Source organism: Homo sapiens, chromosome 7 (genome assembly GCF_000001405.40).
Source record: "Homo sapiens chromosome 7, GRCh38.p14 Primary Assembly".
Taxonomy (NCBI): Eukaryota; Metazoa; Chordata; class Mammalia; order Primates; family Hominidae; genus Homo; species Homo sapiens.
This window is the reverse complement of record NC_000007.14, coordinates 134,814,664-134,841,373: the sequence shown is the minus strand read 5'-3', so window position 1 is coordinate 134,841,373 and position 26,710 is coordinate 134,814,664. Positions and strand designations below refer to the sequence as shown.

Here is a 26,710-nt window from a genome sequence, read left to right as displayed (position 1 = left end):
GATGGGTTTTAGTTAGAATGAGCTAGTAATAATAACACATTATTAATTGTCTCTGCTTTACATTTATAGTTAAACATGGGAGCTAGGAGTATGTTAGAAGAAAAGAAATATATGATCTTAGGGAATTTGGGTCATTTAAATAAATACTAACAAGTGAATTGACCTTGTACGAGTCATTTAACCACTCAATTTCTTCATCTATAAAATGAAGCATTTGGAATAGATTTGCCACAGTACTCAATTCAGATGATTTATTTCTACCATCTTTCCACGAAAAAAATGTATTGTGTATGTGAATGACCTTGATATCATTTTGAATAAAACAAGTTCAACCAAGTTCCCCCTTTTCAGCATCTAACAGGGTGCTCAGAGAAGAGTGTTGCTTTTCAAGTCCACCTATCCCGACTCCTTCTCTATTATTTCTAAGAGATGAGTGCATTTTATAACTCTAAGAGAAATTATAATATATTACATAATAATATCTATTATTTATTGAATACCTACTATTTGCGAGGTATTTGATATCTGTTCTTTCATTTAATCTTCACAAGAAAACTGTGAAACTAGTTGTTTTTTATTATCCCCACTTGGAAGTAAGATTCATTGTCACACAGTTAATAAATGACAAGTTAGAATTAAAACCCAGGTTTGTTTTATTCCAAAGCTCCTTCCATGACAGGATACATGGAGCAGCCATAGCTGCCAACACTGACATTTTCTTTTACCTTTTTGAGTTCTACACAACATTTTTCTTTAAATGTTTTGGAGGAGATTGTTGATGAGTTTGTGGAATGTAGCTAGACTGACGTAGGTATCTGCCTAAATGGAATAGCTTGTGGCAGTCCAGTGCTTTCATTGAGAATAACTAGAAACTCTGGATAATATTCCACAAAACCAAAATTAATTTGGAGGCATTAGGACACTTGGAGAGTTCAGCCACGGAGAAGGAGCAAACCAGAGGTTGAAGGAGTCTTGCAAAATGGAAGATGAGTTGTAGATCAGCTCAGCCCCATTTAACTGAAGAGAACTTTCCCAACTCTATCAAAACAACCAGAAGGTAAGACAACCCCTGTCTGTAGAAAAGTAACATCATCCCGCACCTAAATGAATATCTATATGGAAAAAGGAAAATCAAAACTTGACCTCTATTTAGCATCATTCCCCCAAATTCTTTCAGATTGATTGTGGATCTAAATGTGAAAACTTACACATTTGCGCTTTCAGGAAAAAGAAAATCTCCATGATTTTGGGATAGGCAAAGATTTTGTAAATGGGACATAAAAATAAAAAAACTTGTGTTGCATTAAAACTAAAAACCATAAAAAGAGTGGAGATGCTAGCCATAGATTGAGAAAATATTAGCAATATGGATGACAAAGAACTTGTATCCAGAATATATAAAAATTTCCACACATCAAAAAGAAAAAGATGGATGATCTAATAGAGAAATGAGTAATGATTTCAACAGGCATTTCACAAAAGAGGATATTTAAAATTGCCAACAACTAAAAAATAAATCAGCCAGGTGTGGTGGTGCATGCCTGTAGTCTCAGCTACATGGGGGGCTAAGGTGGGAGGATCTCTTGAGCCAGGGAAGTCAAGGCCACAGTAAGCCATGATCGTGACACTGCACTCCAGCCTGGGGACAGAGAGAGACCTTGTCTCAAAACAAAAACAAAAAGACAAAAAGATCAACAAGTGTATGAAAAAGTGCTCAATCTCATTAATCATTAGAAAAATTCAAATTGAAACTTATGATGAACTAAAACTACATACCACTAGAATAGCTAAAATTTAAAAGACATAAATCAAAATGGTGGTGAGCAACTGAAATGCTCATGCACTGCTATGGGAATATAAATTGGCAAAATCACTTGGGAAAAAGATTTGGCAGCATGTGCTAAAGCTGAATATTTGTATACCCTGTGACCCAGAAATCTTACTTACAGGCATATATACAACAAAAGTCCATGCATATATTCACCAGAAGACATGAACTTGAATGTTCATAGCAGTACTATTAATAATAGCCATGAAAAGGAAATAACCTCAATGTCTATCAACAGCAAAATGGATAAATTGTGGGAGGCAAACAATGAAACCCTATATAGCAATTAGAATGATCTAAGTTTTGCTCAGGCAATCAATCTCAGAATCATAATGTAAACAACACAACAAAAATTACTATATGATTTCATTAATATAAAAACCGAAGCCCAGACAAAATTAATACTTCATGTTAGAAATCAGAATAATGGTTATCATGAGGCAGTGGCTGGGTGGGGGAAGGCATGACTCTGAAGGGACATTTAGGGTGCTTCTGAATGCAAGTAGTATTCTGTTTTGTGATCTGGATGCTGACTACTCAGTTGCGTTCATTCTGTGAAAGTCCATCACTCTGTACAATTATAAATTGTGCACTTCTCTATATGTTACACATCATTAAAAAGATTATTTTTAGAACATGTGAATAGAAAAAGATGAAACTTTAGTCTGGAAAGATGACAACTCCAGGGAATTTATGAGCTCAAAATATATAAAATCAGGAAAGTTCACTATCTCTTGTCATACATTGTACCAGTAGGAAAATAAAATAATAAAAAGAAAGACAAACAGTGAGAGAAAACAATAAGATAATACAAATCAATGTACTCTGCAGGGGGAGAATTGTAGTTGGGAAGGCTGGGATCAATTTGGCCAGTTATTTCTAAATTAAAAGTCAACACTGGATTATTTGCCAATGACTTAGTGAACTTTCCATATATGTATTTTGGCTTACCATATCTTAGAAGTGAAATATTGAATGTTTTTGCAAGTGGTCCATACCAAGGCAATCCAAATACAGGGACTACTTATCATCTTAAGAATGCCATGCAATTTCACCATCCATCCAGCCCTTTGCTTAGTATCCACTGTTTCTTGTCCTCACTTTTAACCACCCACCTTCCCCAAATTATTTCTTGTAGCTCTTTTGTGCATCAAGTCCTTGAACAATGTTTCCTCTTTATTTTTTAAAATTGTATGTTTCCATTTCAGATTTTCCCTATGTATCTTGAACAAATTCATCTATAGTATGCTTGTAGTTTAGTGTATAGGTTTATGTCTGTATGAGAATCTCTTGATTTTTATGGGATATGTTTTCTGTGTTATTAAGGAATTATTATGCATATGGAAATGTATACAGATATTTGTATAAATGAGTAGATAAGAGGGACAAGATGTATTAATATGATAATATGTTAGGAATTTAGCTACCAAACAGGCTAAAGTGGGAAATTAAGGAAATTTTTCTTATAATTAAAGAAAAAGTCAATTATTCAGTGAAAGTCAGAATTTTTGTGGCATTCTGTAGCAAACAGATTTATTGGATAGCAGACAAAGCTTTAAATCATTCAGTTGGATTGAACATAGATCTTTCCCATTAAAACAGCATGGAATTGTAAGACTGACTATGGGTCACATAGAACTCTACACTTAATAACCTAAGAGAAGCTCTTTAACAAAGATAACTAACAGGTATCAGCTACTTCAATTTTAAAATGAGGATAGTAATTACTACGCTGAAGGGTTTTTTTCTTCTTCCATTGTACTTGGTTAATGCCTCTATGGTAGCATTGCATGAGTATGGGCTTCCCAATGGTAAGGGCATGGTCTTATCAATCACTCCATACCAAGCATTTAGCATGTTCTCTGGCATATATCATATGCTTCATAAAAGTCTGTTGTTGGCCGGGTGCATTGGCTCACGCCTGTAATCCCAGCACTTTGGGAGGCCGAGGCAGGCAGATCACAAGGTCGGGAATTTGAGACCAGTCTGGCCAGCACAGTGAAACCTCATCTCTACTAAAAATAAAAATTAAAAAAATTAGCCAGTGTGGTGGTGTGCGCCTGTGATGCCAGCTACTCAGGAGGCTGAGGCAGGAGAATCGCATGAACCCAGGAGATGGAGGTTGCAGTGAGCCGAGATCATGCCATTGCACTCCAGCTTGGGCGACAGTGCAAGATTCCATCTCAGGAAAAAAAAAAAAAGGAGAACGAAAGAAAAAAGTCTGTTGTTGAGTGATGATTGAGATAACATATAAAGTACCTAGTATTGAACTTAGCATGCCATTGACCCTCGTTTAATATTATCAGCTTCTTTCTCTGCCTTCTTTGTTATTCTGCATCTAGAAAGTAGAATGGCTCAATTCTTAGTTTATTTCTAAGCCATCAGGTCCCAAGACTAGCAAGCTACCCAGGGAAATTTTGCTGAGTTCTTAAAATTTTATGGAGTGCAAAGGATATAGCTTACATGTATGTTCTCAGAGAAGCCCATATGGTAAAATTATGAAAAAAAAAAACAGATCTTATCCTGTTCTATGATAGTACAAAAGATGGGCTTTGGTATCTTAAAATGGTGCCTAATCATTGCAGCCTTTTCTCCTTTCTCTTGGACAATCATTGAATGAAGAGTAATCTGCGATGCTATTTGCATCATCCAAGATGTTTCAATTGTTAATAGAAGAATGAGGGTGGATTTTCACAGGCAAGATGATTTCTGATTGGAGAAGCAATGAGAATGTATCCATGAAGGTCAGATGTTTATTTTTAAGCTTCATGAAAAGTTCTGTACTTGTCTGAAGCAAATAGGAAAGAGAAAGTCGTTTGCGGTCTTATGAAATTTCTGAACTTCTCATGGGAAAGTAGCTGACGTCAGTGTTTGATAAGTTTCCCGTGGCTACAGGCATGAGAGACACTGAGAAAAATGTATCTTTCTCTTCACAGAGTCATAGTGTACCTGAAGTTTGAGCTGGGTATAACTACCACTCATCACGAAAGACCTAGTGTAGATAATAAAAAGTCCAAAGTTTGTGAAAAGGTAGTGGCAGTTGTTTCTCTTGCCTTCATCATCGTAATCATCACCACTGCCACTACCACTGTCATCATTATCAACGAGCACTGACTGTTGTTTGTAAGGCATGATGTTAAGTTACCTAAGTTTCAGCAAGTGATAAGAAATGGTGCACTTAATTTTTATGTATATTAAATTTTCCAATGGATGCAGTCTTCTGGTTCTCTTCTGCCTGTGTTCCTGTGTATGGCTTCCTAAATAAATAGAACTTATCAAACAGAAGCAACTATGAAGATTAGAACCCTCATGGTTGAGGAGGCAAAGCTGAGGAAACAGGATGGACATCTGAGCAAGGGTAAGAGTCATATCATTTATCTTTTTTTTTTTTTTTTTTTTTTTGAGATGAAGTCTCACTCTGTCACCAGGCCGGAGTGCAGTGACGCGATCTCAGCTCACTGCAACCTCTGCCTCCCAGGTTCAAGTGATTCTCCTGCTTCAGCTTCCTGAGTAGCTGGGATTACAGGCACCCACCGCCACACCTAGCTAATGTTTGTATTTTTAGTAGAGACGGGGTTTCACCATGTTGGCCAGGCTGGTCTCGAACTCCTAACTCAGGTGATCCGCCTGACTCGGCCTCCCAAATTTCTGGGATTACAGGTGTGAGCCACCTCGCCTAGCCTCATTTATCTTTTATCTGTAGAATTTAGCACAGCCTCCAGCATATAGGATAAACTTAATAATGTCCAGTTTGGCCAAATTGAACCTCTTTAATGCTATTAGACTCTCAATTTTTGACAATCTCATCAATAAAGGTTGTACTTAGAAATTTTCGATATTCACAAAGAAAGAGTGTCTCAAGTCAATAAATTCTAGTTCAGGCTACACGTCATCACGATCGGATTATCTATTGTGCAATTAAGTCAACTCTGAAAAATTTAGGCACACTTTATTGATGTAATAAATTCATTTCATGTTCCTATTTATAATATGTTCTTGTTTGTTTAAAGTATGCTTAAAACTTTTTCTAATGTTAGTTTTGACTACTGATTGAAATTTAACTACCTAAGGACAGGGCCATATATTTCCTTTATGGCCAGTTGCTTAAAGCAAGCAAAAAACAAAGCAAAATAACACCCTAAGTGGAATTATCCTGTTCCTCTTTCCCACGTTCCAACCAACTGGCATTGCCCACCTCTCCTCTCTGCCACAGAGCTGTGCAGTAAGACCTAATCCAGAGCCTTGAGCTCAGTCGGTGCCAAGCATGAAACACTGACAGAGAGAATCTGGGCAGCAGCAGGACACAGGGCTCAGGTCAGGATCTAGAATCACCTTGTCCTACCCTTGCAACCAAAAGCAAAACCATCAGTATGTGTAGCCTTGAAAAAATTCACTAGATGTCATTCCTCAGCATTTTAAAGAAAGGCAGGCAGTACTTTATCTCTTTGCACATTCAGCTGAAAGAGTAACTAGTGAAGGCTGCAAGCCCATAGATTAGATACAGAGGCCTTTGCACTAGAAAACTGGTAAAATATCACACTCACTCTGTCTGTTCATCATCACCCAGATATCCATCTGTTAATGTCTAGGAAGCTGTGGACATCGGCAAACACAGCAAAATAACAATGCACAGGGGACCATTTTGTGCACAGGGCCCTGGGAAGGGCCAGTGGAATTCCTCTGATCAGTCTCCTTTTGACTTTTTCCCATAGACCTTGTTCCTGCACTGAAATGTCTGGAATGTTTGGTAGGGATGAAGTGGGTTGGTCACAGGGCAATTATGCTTCTATCATCAATCAGATCAGCCATTTGTGGGCTGATTTCCAAGTGCCTAGTGACATCACAAATGGGTTAAGAATACAAATACATGGCCCTTTTACAGTAAACAGGGCTTGCATATCTCTATTCTTAAATGATTTTCATAGAAACCCTGGAGGTCAGTAAGACAAGTATTATTGGCAACATTTTATAAATAAGACCTAGAAAGGCCTAGAGAGGTTAAATGGTTTACCCAAGGCTTCTCAGCTAGTGATGGGAGGAGCTGGGTCTCCAAATCTGTTCTTTTTGTAGAACACCATTCTGCCTGTGTTTGATTAGTTAACAACTAAGTCCATTTAGCAGGAGCTGGTTATTTTTTATTTTAGGACAAATCAATCACTACATCTGTTTTTGGATATTGGAAGAATCCACTGCTCGATTTCTAACTGCCATCATGGGCTAAACAGTTTTCATATAATTATCTCAAGAACTGATCCTTTGTGGCCCTTGCAATCTGGCCTGTCTTTGCAGTAATCACACAGCAGAGAAAGTGTAACAAGCGATAAATACTTCAAGCAACCGTCCTAATCTCAAAGCATTTGAACATCAAAATAGATCTTCCATCAGGTATGGTGGCCCACCACAGCAGCTTTCTATGTGGAGTTCTGATCACAGTATTGTTGCTACTCTGACGTATCATCAGAAATGTGAGGTTTCATGTGATTTACTTTTTAAAATATTAGGAAGGATTCAAAGCTATCCATATAAACTTGATATTCATTCAACTGGATTCTAGGCATCTTTCTTCCGTGGAAGAAAAAGGCCTATTTGTCTTCCTCTAAGTGGGTCTTTTCTGTGAATGTCATTCCTCATATGGGGGAAAAGTTTGAGATTTGCTCTTCTACTATTCCTATCTCATGAGACAAAAAGTTAGGCCCCGCTTGGGATTCTATTTCCAGTTATTAAATGGGAGTTGCTAAGGAGACAGCAGAGATGGAGAAAGACAAGGTCACTGCTCTCAGAGGGCTAACACTCTAGTGGGCAAATAAATATTAAATTATTTATGTCATATTCACTTCTGTATCCCCAGTGTCTAGCATAGCTCTGATCACATAGCAGTTTCTCAATAAATGTGTGTTAAGTGAATAAATAAGTGAGGTCTCCAGAAGCTCAATTTTTTCCACTTCTAAATCTTGATGGAAACATCATTCTCCAGTGCCCTTCTTCCCAGGGCTACACTGAAAACTGACACAAGGTGGACAATGAGAATCTCACTGAAGAATAGTACTGCTGTTTTTATTGGTAATACATTAGCTGGTTGATGGTAACGTGGACAGTATCAAACTTCAGTCTTACGTGGCCACAAACTTAAACCCAAGCTGCTATCTTTTTTAAAATGTGGAATTTTAACCAGATGAAGGATAACGTGCAGATACAGATGGGTTAATGAAACCCATTTCCACATTAATAAGATATTTCATATTGAACATCCCATAATGTTTATCTCCAAAGGATAGTATTTTTAAACACAGCAATGCTTCCATTCATATGCCAAAAAAATCCCCCCAAAACCAGAAGTTTCACTGGGTTCAACATTCATAGCTAAGTGGATTGAATTAAGTGAAAAAGATAAATTAATTCAATAAAAATTTTTGGCAGTTGCCACCAAATAACTGTTGGGGAATTCTTGGTCTCTGTTGAAATGGCAATTCTGGCATTATGCAGACACAGTTATAGGCTAAATAGAGCTGATAAGTGTAAAACACGTCTTGCAGCTTCATAAGGAAAAGTTCTAAAACATACTGTCCAGAGACAAGACAATAATTCTTATATATCTGGCACATAAAGATGTGATTGTGACAAATTACTTTTAAAGGGTTAAAAAACAAATAACTGTGAATAACTTAAAATAACTAAGCTTGCATAGAAATGCTACTCCAGAACCTTGAGCAGAGCTACAACTACATTATGTGGAATACACTTGAAGAGTGAAGGAAGAAACCAAAAAAAGGAAAAACCTTAAACTTAGCCAGAATTTAAATGATATTGAGGCTGCACAGATACTTAGGTTGTTTTGCGAGTGTATTTCTCCCGCTGTCTGTCTGTGTTCCTTCATTTCCCGATGTGGCTTAAAAGAAAAACTCAGATATGAAAATCAAAACTGCCCTTATTATGTTCTTAGGCTGTTTGAACCCAAACAAGGGAAATCCAGGAGTGTGGGAACTTGATCATAAGATCCATGAATAAGCAATCACATTTTCACACAACTTTATACCCCACAGTATCTCAGGCAGCACTTGACAATTATTCATTGCTGGTTTTCCAGACTGCTTTTATTTCTATTTCACTCTACTGAAAAAGGTCCCAAATTGTTACAGGTAGTCAGTCATGAGCAGGGAGCAGGAGAGGGCTCTCCCACCACCCACTAGAAATGTCAGGTGATGGTTTGGCAATTATCCCTTTGCCTCTCTAAAAATGATAATTCACAGCAGCCAGAAAGAGACAATCTCCTGATGGTCCATACCTGTTAACATTTAAAAGTGTTAACTGAGTGCAGACCCCAGAGAGAAACAGCTTTCTGGAAATGCATATTAAGAGACAAAAATGACGAAGTAAGATCTCCTGGGTACTCTCTGCTGGAAGAAGGAAGAAAGCCTCAGATGGGCATGTGTATAACTCCCTAAATACACTGCGCGTGCGCATTTCTCAAGCGTAAGAAGGGCTGTGCGCATGCCCACCCTACGGAAGACGCATGGGGAAAAGACGGGCTTATAAAAGTCCTAGGATCACGGTTATACGGGACACTCGACCTTCTCTCTTTAACACTCACGTGCCTGCTTGGATGTCTTCCAAGCGCGCCTTTCTTTCCTGTTCTAAAGCCTTTTAAAATAAACTTCCACTCTTGCTCTGAAACTTGCCTCTATCTCTTTTTCTGCTTTACACGCCCCTCAGTTGAATTCTTTCTTCTGAGGAGGCAAGGACTGAAGTTGCTGTGGACCCCTACAGATTCGCCGCCGGTAACTCGCAGATAACTCGGATCTCTTCCACTAACAAAAATCATCAAATCTCTAGAAGTTATGCCATCTCTGAGTGCTATATAGATATACATTTTATTATAGAAAGTATACAAATATGCATTTTATTATAGAAAATACAGAAATTATGCAGAGACCGGGTGCGGTGGCTCATGCCTGTAATCCCAACACTTTGGGAGGCCGAGGTGGGCAGATCACGAGGTCAGGAGTTCAAGACCAGCCTGGCCAAGATGGTGAAACCCCATCTCTACTAAAAATACAAAAAAATTAGCCAGGCGTTGTGGTGGGCACCTGTAATCCCAGCTACTCGGGAGGCTGAGGCAGAGAATTTCTTGAACCTAGGAGGCGGAGGTTGCAGTGAGCCGAGATCGCGCCACTGCACTCCAACCCGGGCAACAGAGGAAGACTCCGTCTCAAAAAAAAAGAAAGAAATTATGCAGAAAATAATTCTAAAGTCTCTTTTCATCCTTCCCACCCTGAGATTACTTTAAAGTTTCAATATATTTCCTTCCAGTCTTTTTTTTCAACAAAGGTAAGATTCTATTTTAAAAACAAATGTGATGTTATGCACTCAATTTTTTCACTTATTATATTATACATATTTTTTACACAATTTTTAAAACATGATAACTTTACAGTTATATGTAATCATTCCCTTATCACTGGACACTGAGAGTATTTCAGGTTTGGGCTATTATAAGTAGTGCTGTGATGGACATTCTTGTACATAAATCTTGATCACTAAATCTCTACCACTTTGTTTTTGCATTGCTAAGTAATGTAGAGCTTAGTACTCTATCAGCGGCTCTCAGGGGAATCAAACTGATCATAATTTTCTTTCTGTGAACTCTTCTTGTTTCCACATACACCACTGGAGAAGTTGGAATATTTGTAGTTGAGTTACAGTAAATAACAGGAAGACAAAATGGTAAAGACTTCTATTGTCATTATTCACTGCCAAGATTATAGAAGCACCAAAAAAAATATATTGCCTTTAAAAATCTGGTTTGAGATCATATCCTTCTCAGGGACATGGATGGAGTTGGTGGCCATTATCCTTAGCAAACTAACGCAGGAACAGAAAACTAAATACTGCTTGTTCTCACTTATAAGTGGGAGTTAAATGATGAGAACACATGGACACATAGAGGGGAACAACACACACTGGGGCCTATTGGAGGGTTGAGGGTGGGAGGGGAGAGAGGATTAGGAAAAATAACTAATGGGTACTAGGCTTAATACCTGGGTGATGAAATAATCTGTATAACAAACCCCCGTGACACACATTTACCTGTGTAACAAACCTGCACATCCTGCACATGTAGCCCTGAGCTTAAAAATTAAAAAAAAAATAAAGATCTAATTTTTAAGATTGACTGATGCCTTGATAAATGAGATAATTCAAAGGTGTAGCAAATTAAATTATTAAAATCAACTGCATTATATTTGGACACACACAGAGGAAGGGTGAAGAAAGAATAAATTCTACGAGTGAGATAACACACATCATAGTAGAGCCTCTGGTGGTTTGAGAAAGCCTGTTAAGGAAATATCAACAGTGGATTTAATGCTTAGGGTGCAAGCATTCTGAAGATGGGTGTTAAGCTTTATACTTTTGTTTCCTCTCTATAACTCACAAAAAGTTCCACCACTACTCCCTGGCCCCTTTTTTTTTTCCTCAGCAAACAGGACAGAATTGAACACAGTCCTTGTTTCCCAAGTTTTTCCCATCTTAGCAAATGACACCAATATTTACCTGGTTGCTTAAGCTCCGGACTTGGGAATCATTTCATACACTTCCTCCTTCCTCATCTACCGTTACTCCCTCTACAGTAAATTACTAAATCCAGGTGATTCTCCCTTCAGGATATTTGCCTAAAATGGTTCATTTATCTTCATTATTGTTGCTGTCACTCAAATCCAAGCCACCATCATCTCATCTGGACTCTTCCTCCCAACTGGTCTTTCTGTTCTATCTTCCAGCCATCTGCAAACAATTACCCTTTTAAAAACATAAATCTAATCATGTCACTCCCATGCTTAAAACATTTCAGTAGCTTCATAGTGCATCTAGAATACAGATCCAACTCTTCCCATGGCCTACAATGTCGTGTATAATCTAGCTCAGCCTGCCTCTCCAGCTTCCTCTTGTGCCTCTCTCTTTTGTGATCCAGTCACACAAGCTTGCTTTCAATTTCTTGCATGGATCTAGAGCTTACTGGCCACAGAGACCAGAAATGAGTCCCTCACCATTACCTAATGACAAAGGCATACTTCTTACTTGGATAATTCTTAACCTTTCTTAAACCCACAAAGTCAAAGTTGGAATAGTACTAAATAATTGCAACACCCTGAAAACACCAATTTTTGTGTTACAGTACAATCAGATGATAACGTTTTCACGTATCCTATCCATTTATTGCCAAGGTATTGTAAATTAAAATTTGTTGCATTAGACATAGAGTTTTAAGATGTTACTTCCACGTCATTCTCTGTTGTAAGTCTCTGCTCTTTGTCTTCATGTACAATCACAATTTGCAATGATATTTATGTTTGGTTACTTATGTATTTAATATCTGTCTTTTCTACTAGACTGAAATCTCCATGAGGATGTATTTATTGTGTTTACTAATGATTCCTCAGCACTTTGCAGTTGCCTGCCATTTAGTAGTCACTCAATAAATATACATGGAATGAATGAATGGCCAACATGTATCTTGAAATAAAAATATTTCAAAAGAGTATCTAATGATAAGATGGGGGGGGAGCTTTATAGATTTATCATCTATTTGCAAAGATGAGAATAAGAGCTCCTAATTAAGAGCTTGGCACTTGCTAAGTGCTCAATATTCTGAATAAAAGAATGAATATATAGATGAATAATTATTAGCTGTCAAAGCAGAATATGATAAATCTAAATGAAAAGCAGATAACTGTATCAGAGCAACCAGGGGCAGACCTAAAAGCTATTTTCTCTGCTGCTACTTTTCTCCAAGTGTTGTAGTTTGAAAAACAGAAGGCTTATAATATGCTTTTTTGGTAATAGTTGAATCATGCATTATCTCATTGGATTTTCCTAAGAATCCTATGATATAGGTAGTATATCATCCCCCATTTGACAAACAATGAAATTAAGCCCAGTGTCTAGGATTACTCAGAATGTAGTGAATCCAGAGCTCAAATGCTGGGTTTCTAACCCACGAGATTAAGCAACGAGAACAACATTGGACAATTATGGAACAGATGATGCAGTTTTGTTCTGATTTCCTCTCCTATATCTGTGTTAAGGTTGGCTGGGCTTTTAAAAAATTGATTGAGTCTTTCAATAAGAAGCAAGCAAATACCCAAATCTCTCCAAGTCTTCCAGCTTAAAAATCTGACTTTGGTCTAGCTGCGATTCCGAATTCTTTTTGGATCAGTGAATTTTTATTTTTCTTTCCAGCCACATTTAAAAATATACTCTGAGCCACATTTGTCTCTATTGCTTTTAAACCAGTGAGAAAATGCTCTCAAGAAAACTGCCTTGGTGCAGAGGACCTACTCATACACCAGCCGCGATATTGGCTTATTTCCATATAACCTAATATGGTTAAGAAAATGTTTGACTGGAACAGAGTGAGGATTGCCAAACTTAACAACTTTTTAGTAAGAAAAGTGCCACAGAGTCCTCTGTTTAGACATAGTGTGATTTCAGTTCACATGCAGTGCTTATCTGTTCACATCAACGAAACCAAAGTTGTATTTCTATGCAGTAACAAAAGCCAGACACCTGCCCCCTTTGCCCAGTCACAGGCAAGATGAATAAATACAAGCTGCTCAGAAAGGCTCTTGGTGATAGTCTATTGAATATGTTGCCCTTGTTGGGTTATAAAAACTAAGTGACCTGGGGATATCCAATTCAGATTCTGTAGACGGTCCTGAGTTTGTGTTAAATCCGGTAGCTTTAAACAGAAGAATGAATGAAAAAAGTCATCTCTATCTGAACCTCAGTCCATCGTGGACCCTCCATCACCTTCCCCAAATAACACCTTTGACTGACATTTCTGTTTATTCTGACTCTCAGCACTCTGATAAATTTGGAATATCATGTGATGTGATATGGTCCTCACTCTTTCCTGTGCCTGGGCCATTGCCGTTGTCATCTGGCCAAGTCCAGAAAGGCTTTTAAAGTCAGGCAGATCTGGGTTTGAATTCTGGATTGTGCCACTTTCTTACTGGATGACTTTGGCAAATTGTTTATTTGCTCCATTGAAAAGTGGAGAATGCCTACCTTGCATGGTTGTTGTGAGAGGGAAATGGGGTAACGTGTATAACAGTATAGAACCTGGTATGGAGAAAAAGCTCAGCAAATGGCAAAAAATGCCCATTTTCTGTTTTTACTCTCTTCCTAATCTTACTACATTCTGGAAAATAGTGCTGGATTCATTTTCCCAACTAAGAATGTAGCAAATGAATACCCATTGGCTCCTGACATTGTCCTGGTCCACTGAGATAGGGAGATCTGCCTAAGATTTCAGCCTGGGCCAAGTTAAAGAAAAACTAATGTCAAAACTTCTATTGCTTCTTAGAGTTACTAAGGGCATAAGCCCAGGGTAGATAACTATTGTATTTTGTTTACATAAATATCCTGACCTTGCTTTGTGGTTGTAAAAGTTGAATGGCCCTGTCCACTCCAAAATCACATGGGAGAGAATTAAGGCAAAGAGCTAAAGAGTTAATTTTTTTCTCAAATTAAAATATTTAATTTTGAGCTGTGATCCAGTGTGGGCTGCATTTTAATGCCCTTCTATCACCATAAACCATTCATCAAAGTCTGTTAAATGCAGCAGCTTTGTGGGAATGAAGAAAAAAAGAACTTTTCCATGCTCAGAGTTAAGCAGGTAGAGGTTGGACTGAGGAGGTAAATGGGTGACTGGAATTTGGAGCAGGAGGTGACAAAAATATAAGGCATCCCACCACCTTATCTCTTTCTTGGGGATTCTCAGAAATATTGAGATGGAGGCCCCAATTATTTTATTTGGATCTGAAATGAAAGAATAATCCAGGAACAATTTGGGCATATCCAGGTTTCATACTTAGGAACAATGAACCAACAATACAAAACCAATATTATCAGTAAAATGTCTGTTATCATGATAGTTTAGGGAATTCAGGCAACAGTGTTCGTGGTAAAAGACCTCAATTTTAAGTCATGGTGACACTACTAACTTGCTTTGTGACCTCAGGCAAGTCACAAACTCTGCAAATTGGGTCTCCTAAACTGTAAAAAGTTGAAGAATGGACTAGAAAAGCTCCGGTGTGTGTTGATTAGGTGGGCTGGAGTACTTAGGAGATGCTTCAGGAAGATGATTGGCACTTAAAGAGTTAAGATTTGGATAACTAGAAAGGAGGTGTGAGAATATTTCAAACATGACGAAGGAGCAACATCAGCAGAACAGAAATACATCAGTTGTGGTCATGGGCAGCTGTGCTCGTGGGTGAGTACATTCAAAAGCCTGCCTGGGAGGGTGGGAGAAAGCAGGAATGTTGACCGGGTCCTTGGATATCAGTTTTGTACTTTATTCTTTGGAGCAGACAATAGAATAATAAAATTATCCTTATATAGAGAATTTAAAAATGCTAGTTTTGTTCACCCCTCTTTAATTTAAAATTTTTAAAGTAAACAGTAGTTTGGGGAGATTTTGAGACTAAGTTTTTTTTATATAAACAGTAGTTTGGGAAGATTTAAAATCAGTTTACAGGATGGAATGATACTTGAAAGGGCTAAACTAGAGTGTGTAGGTAAGTTTGGAGATTCTTGAAACCTGAATTAAGATGGTGTTGGTGAAACTGAAGGAAAACATAGCCTGAGACATTGAGAAATGTGCATGTATTTCTCCCCGGCATACCCAGGGCTCCTCTGGTCAGTCTGTACAGGGATCTACCCTCAGTTGCAATGCCCTGAGCTCTGACCCCTGGGTCTAAAAATTGAGCTATTAATGACCAATAAATCATTTGGGAGGTTAATCTACAGGAAGGGTCAAAACAATTTTTTATTGTAAGTATAAAATGACCTTGGGTTATTATGTGATGTAATATTTTACATTAATTGCATAATTGAATATAATTTTGCAGATTATACCAACCAACAATGAACTCTAAATGACTTCACCAAAAGGGAAATCTTCACATTTTTTCTGGGAAAATATACATAAGATATCTATAAATCCAAAAGTTAGAGTATAAAATTATCCTTATATAGAGAATTTTAAAATGCTAATTTTTCTCACCCCTCTTTAATGCTTAGATATTTTATAGCAATTTAAAGACCTTAAATTACCCTAATCACTTATAAAAATAAATGCTTGGAAAGAGGAAATCCAAACTTAAATTTATAGTTAACAAAGCAAATTTATTTTAATGCGGGTACATTACATTCTCTTAACAACTCTGCCCTGGAATGAGACAGAGCTGGAAGTGAAGTTCAGGTCTACCCAAATGTATGACTCCATCTGTTTTCTAATAAACTTGGCCATCATCTTATAAATGTTAATTACCTTACCCCTTTTCCCATGCTCCTTTTCCTATCCCCCTTTCTCCCCACTTTATCTAAATCTTAAAGCTTTGAAGTGATCATTTTAGGTCAAATAATAGAAAAACCTCTTTCCATTATAAGTATTAAACACTTGGAATCTATTACTTTCAATGCTGGTACCATGATAAAAATGTGCATAGGTTCAAGAGTAGTTTAGAGATGTTACTGCATAATAGATATTTAAAAGCCTCTGAAGGAAAGGTAGTATTCTTAAAGTCTCAGAGAATAACACAAATTCCAACAACAGTCTCTTCTTGCCATCATCAGAGACATCAGGCCCTGGAGCTCAGATCTGACCAAGTGACGTATATCTCTAGTTCTAATATTCTTTAACAGCGTAATATAATGGGTGTCAAATATTCTTTTAACCCTTCTGTTGAGAAGTTATCATCACAATAGAAAATGAAAAAAAGCAGAAAACTCCGTATGTACAATTGAGGGGGAACTGGGAAAAAATTACATTTATTGTAGGCCAATTGTGTATCAAATGCCACAGTATCTATTTAATGTCCCAAACATAGCACAAGGTCAGTGTTTGTTCTCTCCATTTATAGAAAAGAAAAATGAGGCTTGAAAGGTTAAGAGAAACTTTTCAAGCATCAGATAGAGGTGGAAGAGTTGAAGCTAGAATGCAGATCTTAACCAATCCTTCCACCACTCCAAAGAGAAACTCTTATTAAAGAAGAAGAGGAAGAAGAAGAAGAAGGAGAAGGAGAAGAAGGAGAAGAAGGAGGAGGAGGAAAGAAAAGTAAAGATTGTCCAGTCATACAATTATTTCATTCACTGTTGTTTGAATAGAGCAATTGATATCTTAAATCAATCTGATCAACTGCACAAAAATGGTTGGATTATTTAGAAGATTTGATTGAAAACCAGTTGTTTCAGCGGTCATGTGTAGACCTGGACTTAATAAATGACCACCTTTGAGTCCCCCAGCTGAAAGAGAACAAAAGAACCCAGAGGCAAATCAATGGCAAATTGCCACCCCAAACAAATTGCAGTATGTAAGTTCTGAAACTTGAATTACCCTTCAAGGATTAAAGTTCAAGACTGTGAAAAATTAAAAATGTTGCCTAGCCTAGGAAATAGCATATGAATCAAAAATCTCATTAGTAAGCTTAATGGCACTCCTAATCTTCTACTTTCATGACATCTAAACTGTTTTGTTATTCTTAATGGACCAAATCCCCCTTCTGGTAATGTTCTGAAAATTCTATTTTTGTGGCAATTTAAAAAATCATATGGCATGTTCTTTATATTTGGTTTATGTAGGAGTTAAGACCACTTCAAACATACTTTTCTTTCTTTGTCAGATGGCTATTTAATATTGTGTCATTCACTTGTTGAAATAAAAGTAAGTTAATCTGCAGAAATACATGAACACCCCAAAAGGATTGAATTGTATGTTTGAGAAATGATATATTTTTTTCAAAGTCAGACATCAAAGGCTCCATATTCCAGAAAGTTTATTTTGAGAAGCTTCAGTCAAAACAGTTTGGGAACTATGAAATGAGTCATTTTTTCTTGAAGAAATGTAACTTTGTCTATTCCCACTGCATTTTTGGTTTGGTAGGAGACATCTTTATTCCACAGGATTTTAAAAGCATGTTTAAGATTCCATAGGTTTAGTATTACATCACTAATGGTTCCTAATGAGATCCAGGCAATAGCAAGACGGGGGGAAAAGAACACACAAAGGCTGAATTCTACAACACCAAGCACCATGTAAAATGTGGAAAAATCTCCATGCTTTATCTATTGCTGAAGCTATCTGGATAAAAAGGGGGCAATTCATATTCAATCAACCAGACATGTGGATGACATGATACCCAATGTTTGGCTCTTCACAACCAGTCATCTAACAGGCTGAATTCTTTACTTTTCACGCAGATGTTTGCTGCCCTGTGGGTACGGTCAAAATGAACCATGTAAATATCGAGATATTTTATTCATCCCATTCAGTGCTTCGGGCCTTAGCTACTTGTTTGGCTTTGTTCTCATAGGCATCTTTTAGATGAAAATTACAGAAATTTTCCTTTTGAGATGATATGTACGTACATATAGAGGCATACATCTTCCCCAAGCTTCCAGCAATTTTGCATTTTAAGGGGGCATGTGGAGGGACAGGTGGGGTGGGCAGGGTGACCCACGGAGAAGTCATTTTTCTACAGACCTATTCACCAATTTCATCTTAAGGCAATTCCACATTGTTGACTTGAGTACAGAGCTTCTACATGTAAAGTACTAAACTAGTTACAGTGGAGAGGCAGGGATAAATTAAAGCATAGTTTCTGCTTTCAAGGAACACATGATCTAGCCAGGGAGATAGAGGCAACTAACTATATCGCCAAATAGAACATAGAGTGTAGAAATATAATAGAAAAATGCAATGAATGAAAACCATACTTAATTCTCTTCAAATGAAGTAGAATAAGTTGTCTGAAGATTTGGGGAGGAAGTTTGAAAAGGAGATGGTAAGATGAGAGGTTTTAGAAATTTAAAATATTTTTATACAAGGAAGTATCAATGCCTTATTTACAGTGAGTGTTAGCATTCACTCAGAAAACAACTACAGAATATGTTTGAGATTCCAGGATTATGTTAGACAAGTTAGTATTTTTTTAACAAATGCATAACTTATTAAATTTTGTCGTTTCTTATGAAAAATCACTATATTCTGAATTCAACTGAAGAATAAAATTTGTAGATAGATACAAATGTCTTTCTTGTTTGACAAGTGAACTGATCAATTCATATCTTGTTCAGACAAGATATGATTCTAGAAATTCTAGAAAGTTTCCCTTCATCCCATTTACTCATTATCATTCACCAAATAAAGCAGAAATAACATTTTCTCACACATCTGGTAAACCTCTTTTGGGCCTAGGCATTGGCCCAAATAAAAGATAGCCAGCAGTCCCTCATGAAACAGAAAATTCTAGAAATAAAAATGTCTGATTTCTCTTCAATATATAACCTTAACTTAGCAAGCAGTCTCGTGCCCAAGATAATATAGACCTGTCCAAGGGTTGGCACTGTCTCCAAGAATTGGGTGATGTGCCACAAAGTTGTCAGCTGTTTTGTGATTTTAGACTCAATAGTTTTATTGAGACTTACCCCTATAAGTTTCTGGCCAACAAGAGAGGTCGGTGTGCCACAATTGAACGAATGCTTTAAAGAATTAATTGTTAAACCTTTGAAAGAAAAAAGGAAATCATAGATAGAAATGAAGAGAGAGAGAGTCAACTATCTCTCTCTATAAACATCTATCTCTTTTATTAAAATGTTGTTGACTCTTGGCGGGGCACAGTGGCTCACGCCTGTAATCCTAGCACTTTGGGAGGCCGAGGTGGGCAGATCACGAGTTCAGGAACCGGAGACCAGGTTGGCCAACATGGTGAAACCCCATCTCTACTAAAAATACAAAAATTAGCCAGGTGTGGTGGTGCGCACCTGTAATCCCAGCTACTCAGGAGGCTGAGGCAGGAGAATCACTTGAACCTGGGAGGCAGAGGTTGCAGTGAGCCAAGATTGTGCCATTGCACTCCAGCCTGGGTGACGGAGCGAGACTCTGTCTCAAAAAAAAAAAAAAAATGTCGTTGACTCTTTTAAAAAGTTAACCCCAAAAAAGTATAAAGAACATTAAAAAAAATCACCTATATCTAGCACTCAGAAATAAATTGTTAACATTTGGTGAACAAAATTCTGGATATCTCTAAAATTATAAAAATAGATGGATAGGTAGAAATAGTTTTATAAATGTAGTCTAATATTTAGAAATATTACTTACAATAATTTAACAAAGAGAAACAGCTTCAATGATAGAAGTTGATGAACTAAAGATAAATGTTTCTTTACAATGAGATATGGGTTTTTAAAAGTTAAAATTATGAAAAAAACTAAAAGACTGGGCTTGTTGTTGTTTTAACTACAGATATTATCACTAGACATTATCTGAATCCCTACTATAAAGCATAGGGAAATTTGTACACTTACTTTTTTTCTTACAGTCTCTTTCTTCTCTATTTAAAAAATTATATTATTATTTTACATTGCCAAGGTATGTAACATTTACATGGTGTAATCACAAATTCCAACAGTTGCTTAGCTTTCATTTTATAATTGAGTCAGTTACGCATAAACGTAATCTAAGTTTAATAGAAAACAACTGCATTCTAGCCTCTAAGGGGAAGTAAATAGTTTGCATCATTTTTCTCCTCCCCTCTCCTTCACTGTTTACTGTGGTTTCATGTTACCATTAAAATTTTTCTAAGGAATGTATCCCTTTGTCCATATGTTATATTGTTAGTCTTTTAAAAAATCTTTTAAAATGATGGAAATGCTAATATATATTTTGAAGTCAACACTTCCTACAGTCCACGACCACCCCTTGCTACCCACCATGTCCCCTAGAATAAAATATTTGACCAATATGTCAGAGTATCACATAGATTTTTCCTTTGAAATTGGGCATCTAGCATTTATGGAAAATCTCATTTTAAAAGAGATTAATTTTTAAATGATATTAATTACTAAAGGTGCAAGGTAGTCCTTCAGAACATCTCAACATTTGTAGTGGGTAAAGTGTAGACAGAAAGACTTCTTCCAGGAACAGTGAAAATGATTTTTCTCCTTGTAATATGACGTTACTTCAAATATTTTGTATATCTTATAATGCTGTCTGGATAAGATCACCCAACATCTAGACTTTCAAGTATCTTTCAGCAGCTTTTAGACCGGAAGCATTTTATCTGGTGGATTAAATGTGTTCCACCAACTTCTACCCATGACAGATTTCTCCTAGATTTTATTTTTCACCTTTTTGACAACATACAACTGAATATTTTACCATGGAAACCAACAGATTCAGGAGTAAAATGTCTCCAGGGGCAATTTTAAGCATAGCTTTTAGGTCATTGTCCATCTATACGTACAAGATCATAGATCTGTCAGTTTAATCTTCTTACAATGTAGACAGACCACCCTCATCATTATGGGCTGAAAATTACACTGAGAATATGTCTTAGAAGTTTCTGGTTACCATCTGTGTAGACATGAACTCAAAATTCTCTCTTAGATCTGAATTTCCATGAAAATCCAACTAAAGTGAATAGAAGGGTGAAAAAAGAAGCACATTAACAAAATTTCAAAACCATGCCTGATTTTCATTAGATCCATTATTTCAGTTTCCATTCTCTTTTAGCATATACATTTATAGGCCAGTGTGTATTTTCATGGCTATCTTCATTGTTTTCTTAAAACCAGGGTTTTGTTTGTTTGTTTGTTTGTTTGTTTTGTTTTTGAGATGGGATTGTCACTATGTTGCCTAGGATGGAGTGCAGTGGCACAATCATAGCTCACTACAGCTTTGAACTTCTGGGCTCAAGCATTCCTCCTGCCTCAGCCTCCCAAGTAGCTGGGACCACAGGCACGTGCCATCACATCTGGGTCAGGAGCTAGAGGGTTTACGTATAGTCATCATTGGGTACTAAAATGTTTTTTACAAGGGCTTCTTAGATGCTGATTGAATTTCCCAAAGCTTGGTAGAGATGATTTCAATACATTGGACTGGGTTGAGGTTGTAAAGATAGTTAAACACTTTATTAAGCCATCTGGAGCATCCCAAACATTAAGGCATGGATAACATAAACAACGCATACATATTAAGCATTTCCTGTGTGCTAGACACAGTGCTAAGCAAAAAGCATGCAATTGTAAACTTGAGCGGTATGGCCCAAGTTCTATTAGGCTTGCAGTCCAGTAGGGATGTCAATATTAAATATTACAATGTGGTGTGATAACCCTGCTCTGGAGAGGGTATCAGGAATTGTCAGGGCACAGAGAAAGGTAATAAGTCAAACTTGAGTCTGTTAAGCTTTCCTTAGGAAGTGGTATCCTAAGGTGAGATGTGAAGGAAGACTAGGAGTTAGGTCAGCAAGAGGCCATGGAATAGAGTGGAGAATGCTTCTTAATTCCGCAGAGACTGTCATTCATGTTCTAGCATGTTCTACAACTCCAGGCCTTTTTTTCTTGCTCCTGGGCCTCACGACGGTTCTTACTTCATCTAGTCAGGCTCCCTGTTCTCAGTTGCTCTTGCCTTGTGTGAAATCAGAAACACTCGCAGAGGAAAGAGGAGAGGAAATTAGTCTGGGATTTTGGATCTGGTTTAGCGTGGCCAATTTGGATTTTCCTGTGACTGAACAGGATTGAAATCTCTACCTCACACCCATGGCACCCAGTCTCCTGTGTTTTCCTCCTAAAGTTTTCCATTACAAATAAACAAAAATGTTGGCATGTGAACTACTGCCACTGGTTGACTGCTTGGTTTCCATCTTGCAGTATGTCATAGACACCAACTTCACATCATGTCCAGCTGCCTCTCGGAGCTCGGCTGCCCACAGAAGCTCTGGCGCAATGGTGGGTCATTGAGTTACATTTTCCAGTGTGGAGTGATAATTGCAAGATTTACTGAGCAGAGAAATATGACCCATCAAATTCAGTCTAAAAATAATTTTTGCTCTGAAAAAGAAAATCGAATTACCTTGCTCTTCACTATGAAAAATTGGCTTCATCTGGGTCAAGAGACATGGAACCTTTCTTTGAAGTAGACCCTACATTCCAAAATATCACTGGCAAACTCTGGGGCCTGCTTCTGATTAAATAATTGACATAAACCTCCGCCGAATAAACACTGAACCCTTCAAAAACAGAGAAGTAAATGAAAAATAAAAATGCATCTATGCTTTAAGTAGAAGATCTTCTGCAATAATTTGTTACCAGAAAGCAATTTACTTTTCCTTTTGTAAACCAGCATTAAAACCTAAGAAGAAAGCACACTGGGTGAAACTCTAGTTGAAACTTCGAAATAGTCTTAAATCTATTCTACATATTATCAGATTTAATGTTGACCTTAAGAGAGTGCTTCCATATTTATGGTTTGCTATCTTATCCCTCAAAACTAAATTTATTACTCATAGAATATGAAGCTTAAAAAGTAAAATATTGTATTTTCCTGAGAATATTTTGGTCTTTAAATTGACAACAGTATAAATACATTGTAAGAAAAAAAATAGCAACCCAACTGTGTGTATGTATACCTTGCCTCTTTCTTCAAGGAATGCTATCTGTGCATATAAAACTCAAAAACAGTTAACCAAGAAATAAAGAAAAAGAGTAAACTCTTTTGGGTTTATTACAGATGAGGTTATAACAAAATGGGCTGACGGCAAGTGTGACAAAAAGTATTGTTTGAAAATTCTAAATCTTGTTGCCACAAAACTGTGACTTTTTAGAAATATATGGGGAAATTTTATTGTAATAGAATGGAATTGAATTTATTGAAATTTTATTGTAAATGAATAAAATTTTGAAGAGGTCTTCAATAATGGAATGAGTAAGATAATTACTACTTCACTTAGCTTTCTAAAAACTTTGCACCAATGGATTTCTGCCTTCCCAGATGATTTTTTTCTCGTTTAGCTTTTGTATACTTTGAAAAATAGAACAATGACTTTGTTCTGTCCTTCATAGGTTGGGATTTATAAAAATGATTTTGTGTGCCTCTGCAAAATGTGGAGAAGTACTGAATAAACAACAAACAATCAGGTGTTCTTCAGTTAAAGGGACAGTTTTTAGAGGAACCCCGTGGTTGTAATGAATTATTTCTTGTTTTAAAAAGACCTTCTTACCTGAATAACGTTGTGAATCACACGAATGTCAATTTCTTGGGTTTTGGTATTGCACTGTAGTTATGCAAGATGTTACTACTGGGGAAAACTGGGTACCTGGGACCTTTCTATACTATTTTGTAACTTCCTGTTAATCTTTTACTTTATTTCAAAATAAAAATGTTTAAAAATGAAAAAAATTAAAATAAATGTCAGTGGTCAAAAAGAGCAAATAAAGAAAAAAGTCCTTTCTAACCAGCTCAAGAGGGTGTATGTCCATATGTTGAGATTCTGTTTGTTAAATATAAGTCTTCTTTTAAGGTAGTCTTGTAGAAGCTCTTAGCAAGCTTGCCTACCTTGCATTCCTCCAAAGATGCACTCTTTACAATTTTGACCATAAAGGAGAATAGCAGAGATAAAAAATTTAAATAAAAATAAAACCGAAGCAGTAACAACATCCTAGCAAATGGGAACAGCTCTCCGTTGGTCTGTGCTCTACAATACTATTATAATATTTGTGACAACAAGTAATCCAATTCAATGAATTGTCTCTAATCCTCTGACAGCTACTTTTCCAAAAACAGAAGACATAATTTTTTAATAAAGCCAGGAAGGAAACAGGTTTCACAAGAGAAGTTCAAGAAGACTGAAGCTCATTGTTCTACCTTCTGACACAGTAGAGTCTCACCTATTGAAGCCATGGGATTGTCAATGAAATGTAACTAGTATGGGAAACAGTGGAAATGTCTTCTCCAGTGTCTATTTGAATACATTGATCCTATGATGGCACAGTTCACTTCAAAGTGTGCTTACTCCCTACATTTTACCCATTCGCCTGGAAACTTCTAAAATCCTCTGACCAGCTCAGTCAGAGCAACAGCATAAGCATAAATCTTCCAAATGAGTTAATGTTGCATATACAAAACAGTCTACTGATTGCTTAAATTGGCTGAAGAGAAAGGGGCTATTCAGGAATAGGTTTGGTTTCTGAGCATGTACACATGATCTAAGAATGATGTCATAAGCTCTTTCAAATATTTTGGGGTAGCTTTTAAATTGCAGACTAAATGGAACTAGTCAAATTCGCACCTTTTCCAGCATGTGAAAATTAATAAGTGGAAAATCCAAGAATCTAGCAATTTCCTTCAATAAATGGCTGCCAATGGACAAACTGTGAAGCTCTTGGATTGACATGGCCCCTGTGTTCCTCATCCTTACTTGATGCAGTGCTAGGGACACATCTATTGATTTGCAACATCACATTATATAATCAGACACTGAGATAAATTCCAATTTGACATAAAATTTAGCTTTTTTAAAGCCTATAGTCCATATTTGTGCATAACAAACTCTTGCATGATTCCAGAAAAATAAAATTTTAAAGCTGGAGATGACTACTCCTGGAGGGAAGTTATACAACTGAACTAAATTAGTAAAACTTTAGATAGGCTGAGTGAAAGCAGGATAGCACTGAGCAAAACAAATGTTCTGGATCTAGTTAAGAGGAGACAAGACAAGTTCACAAGTGAATGACCCTGGTTATCACAATTGCTATTTTGAAAGAAAGATTCTTAAGGAATTGATATTTTACAAAGGGGATATATGCCAGTTCGAGGATAGTTTTTAAAAAATTAATAGGCTTTGTTTTTCAAAGGATAGATATCTTAAAATGTTTTATTTGATAATTGGTTCTTTTGAGAATATTGTATATTTGTAAATGGTGGTAAGTATTCTGTCTATATTTTCATTTTCTCTAAACACCAAATTTCTCAGTTCCACTAATTCATTGAATTTTTCAGTTTAGTAAAAATCCTAGGCCTTGCTAGCTTCCAGAAGATAGGTAAAATTTTGGTATAGGACCTCATAGGCTCAGCTAAACATTCCTTCAACCTTAAAAAACATGAGAAATGGTTTAGAGGGTCACCCCTCTAAACAGTGAGACTTCAGATAGGTGAATGATATCATTACAGTGCATCAGAGCTATACAGCCAAAACCATGTTTAGTAAATATTCACAAAGCAAGAGTGACATGTACCAAAACCCCAAGCAGAGTTTTCCTTATCCAAGAACAATGACGGGAAACTTCTCCAGGAGGCACTGGGACTGGGAAGTCCCACTAGCACTGGGGAAAAAAGAGGCAGAAATTCTACAACTTGAGGACCAGCCGGAGAGACAACATGGAGTATATGTTCTCCTTTCATCTCTTCTTGTTCTTTGTGTCACAGACATACAAGCAATTTGATAGTTGCTTCTCAGACAATATGCACAGCCTAAATTCCAACCATATTAGTGTGTGTTGGGTTCTAACCCACTTCATCCCCAAAGGCCAGCTAGAGTTGCAGCAATCCTTGGCATCACTTGTCCGGACATGATGAGGACACAGTCACCTAAGGGACAGCAAGCAACCTAGTCAAAAGTACTGTGGCTGGCCCATGCTCCTGACATAAGAAATGAAAAGCTAGACCACGGCAAAACTGAGAATAAAGGGTAGGAAGCAGGGGCCAATGTAGGCCAATCCCAAAATCTAGGAAGCCACAGTTAAAGACTCAGATTCAGGGCTTGAAAGGAACCTAGATGTCACGTGATCCAGCTCCCTTATTTTACAGAGAAGAAATTCAAATTCAAACTGGGGGAGGCATTTATCCAAGGACACTCAGTCAAGACCAATACCCAGGTTTCTTGACTCTGTTGAGTGTTAATTCCAGGAGTCAACAGGCAAACAGTGAATCAACAATCATAGAGAGACTGTTGCTTCTTTTCCAACAGGGGTGTGCCTTCACTCTTTATCTGACCTTCTTCTGGATACAGCAAACACTTGTGGACCAGCTGCACTGAAGCATTAAACAAG

The 26,710-nt window shown here is 37.1% G+C and overlaps 1 protein-coding gene and 1 long non-coding RNA gene across 33 annotated transcripts in view; one reads left to right on the top strand and one right to left on the bottom strand.

The window, feature by feature from the left end:
• The window catches only part of LOC124901750 (uncharacterized), a 224,798-nt gene that overhangs the window by 2,511 nt on the left and 195,577 nt on the right, over positions 1-26,710 (top strand). For all 4 annotated transcript variants that reach the window (XR_007060537.1, XR_007060538.1, XR_007060536.1 and 1 more), the window contains exon 1: positions 1-26,710. This exon is cut by the window's left edge and continues 2,511 nt beyond it. This is a non-coding gene — a long non-coding RNA (uncharacterized LOC124901750).
• Positions 1-26,710, bottom strand: part of CALD1 (caldesmon 1) — a 259,231-nt gene that overhangs the window by 129,356 nt on the left and 103,165 nt on the right. Inside the window, exon 2 of one of the 29 annotated variants that reach the window (NM_001438782.1) lies at positions 19,313-19,389. The exons of the other annotated variants lie outside the window; for them this stretch is intronic. The gene's annotated coding sequence lies outside the window, so the exon portion shown is untranslated. The remainder of the gene's footprint in view (positions 1-19,312; positions 19,390-26,710) is intronic. 29 annotated transcript variants of the gene reach the window in all.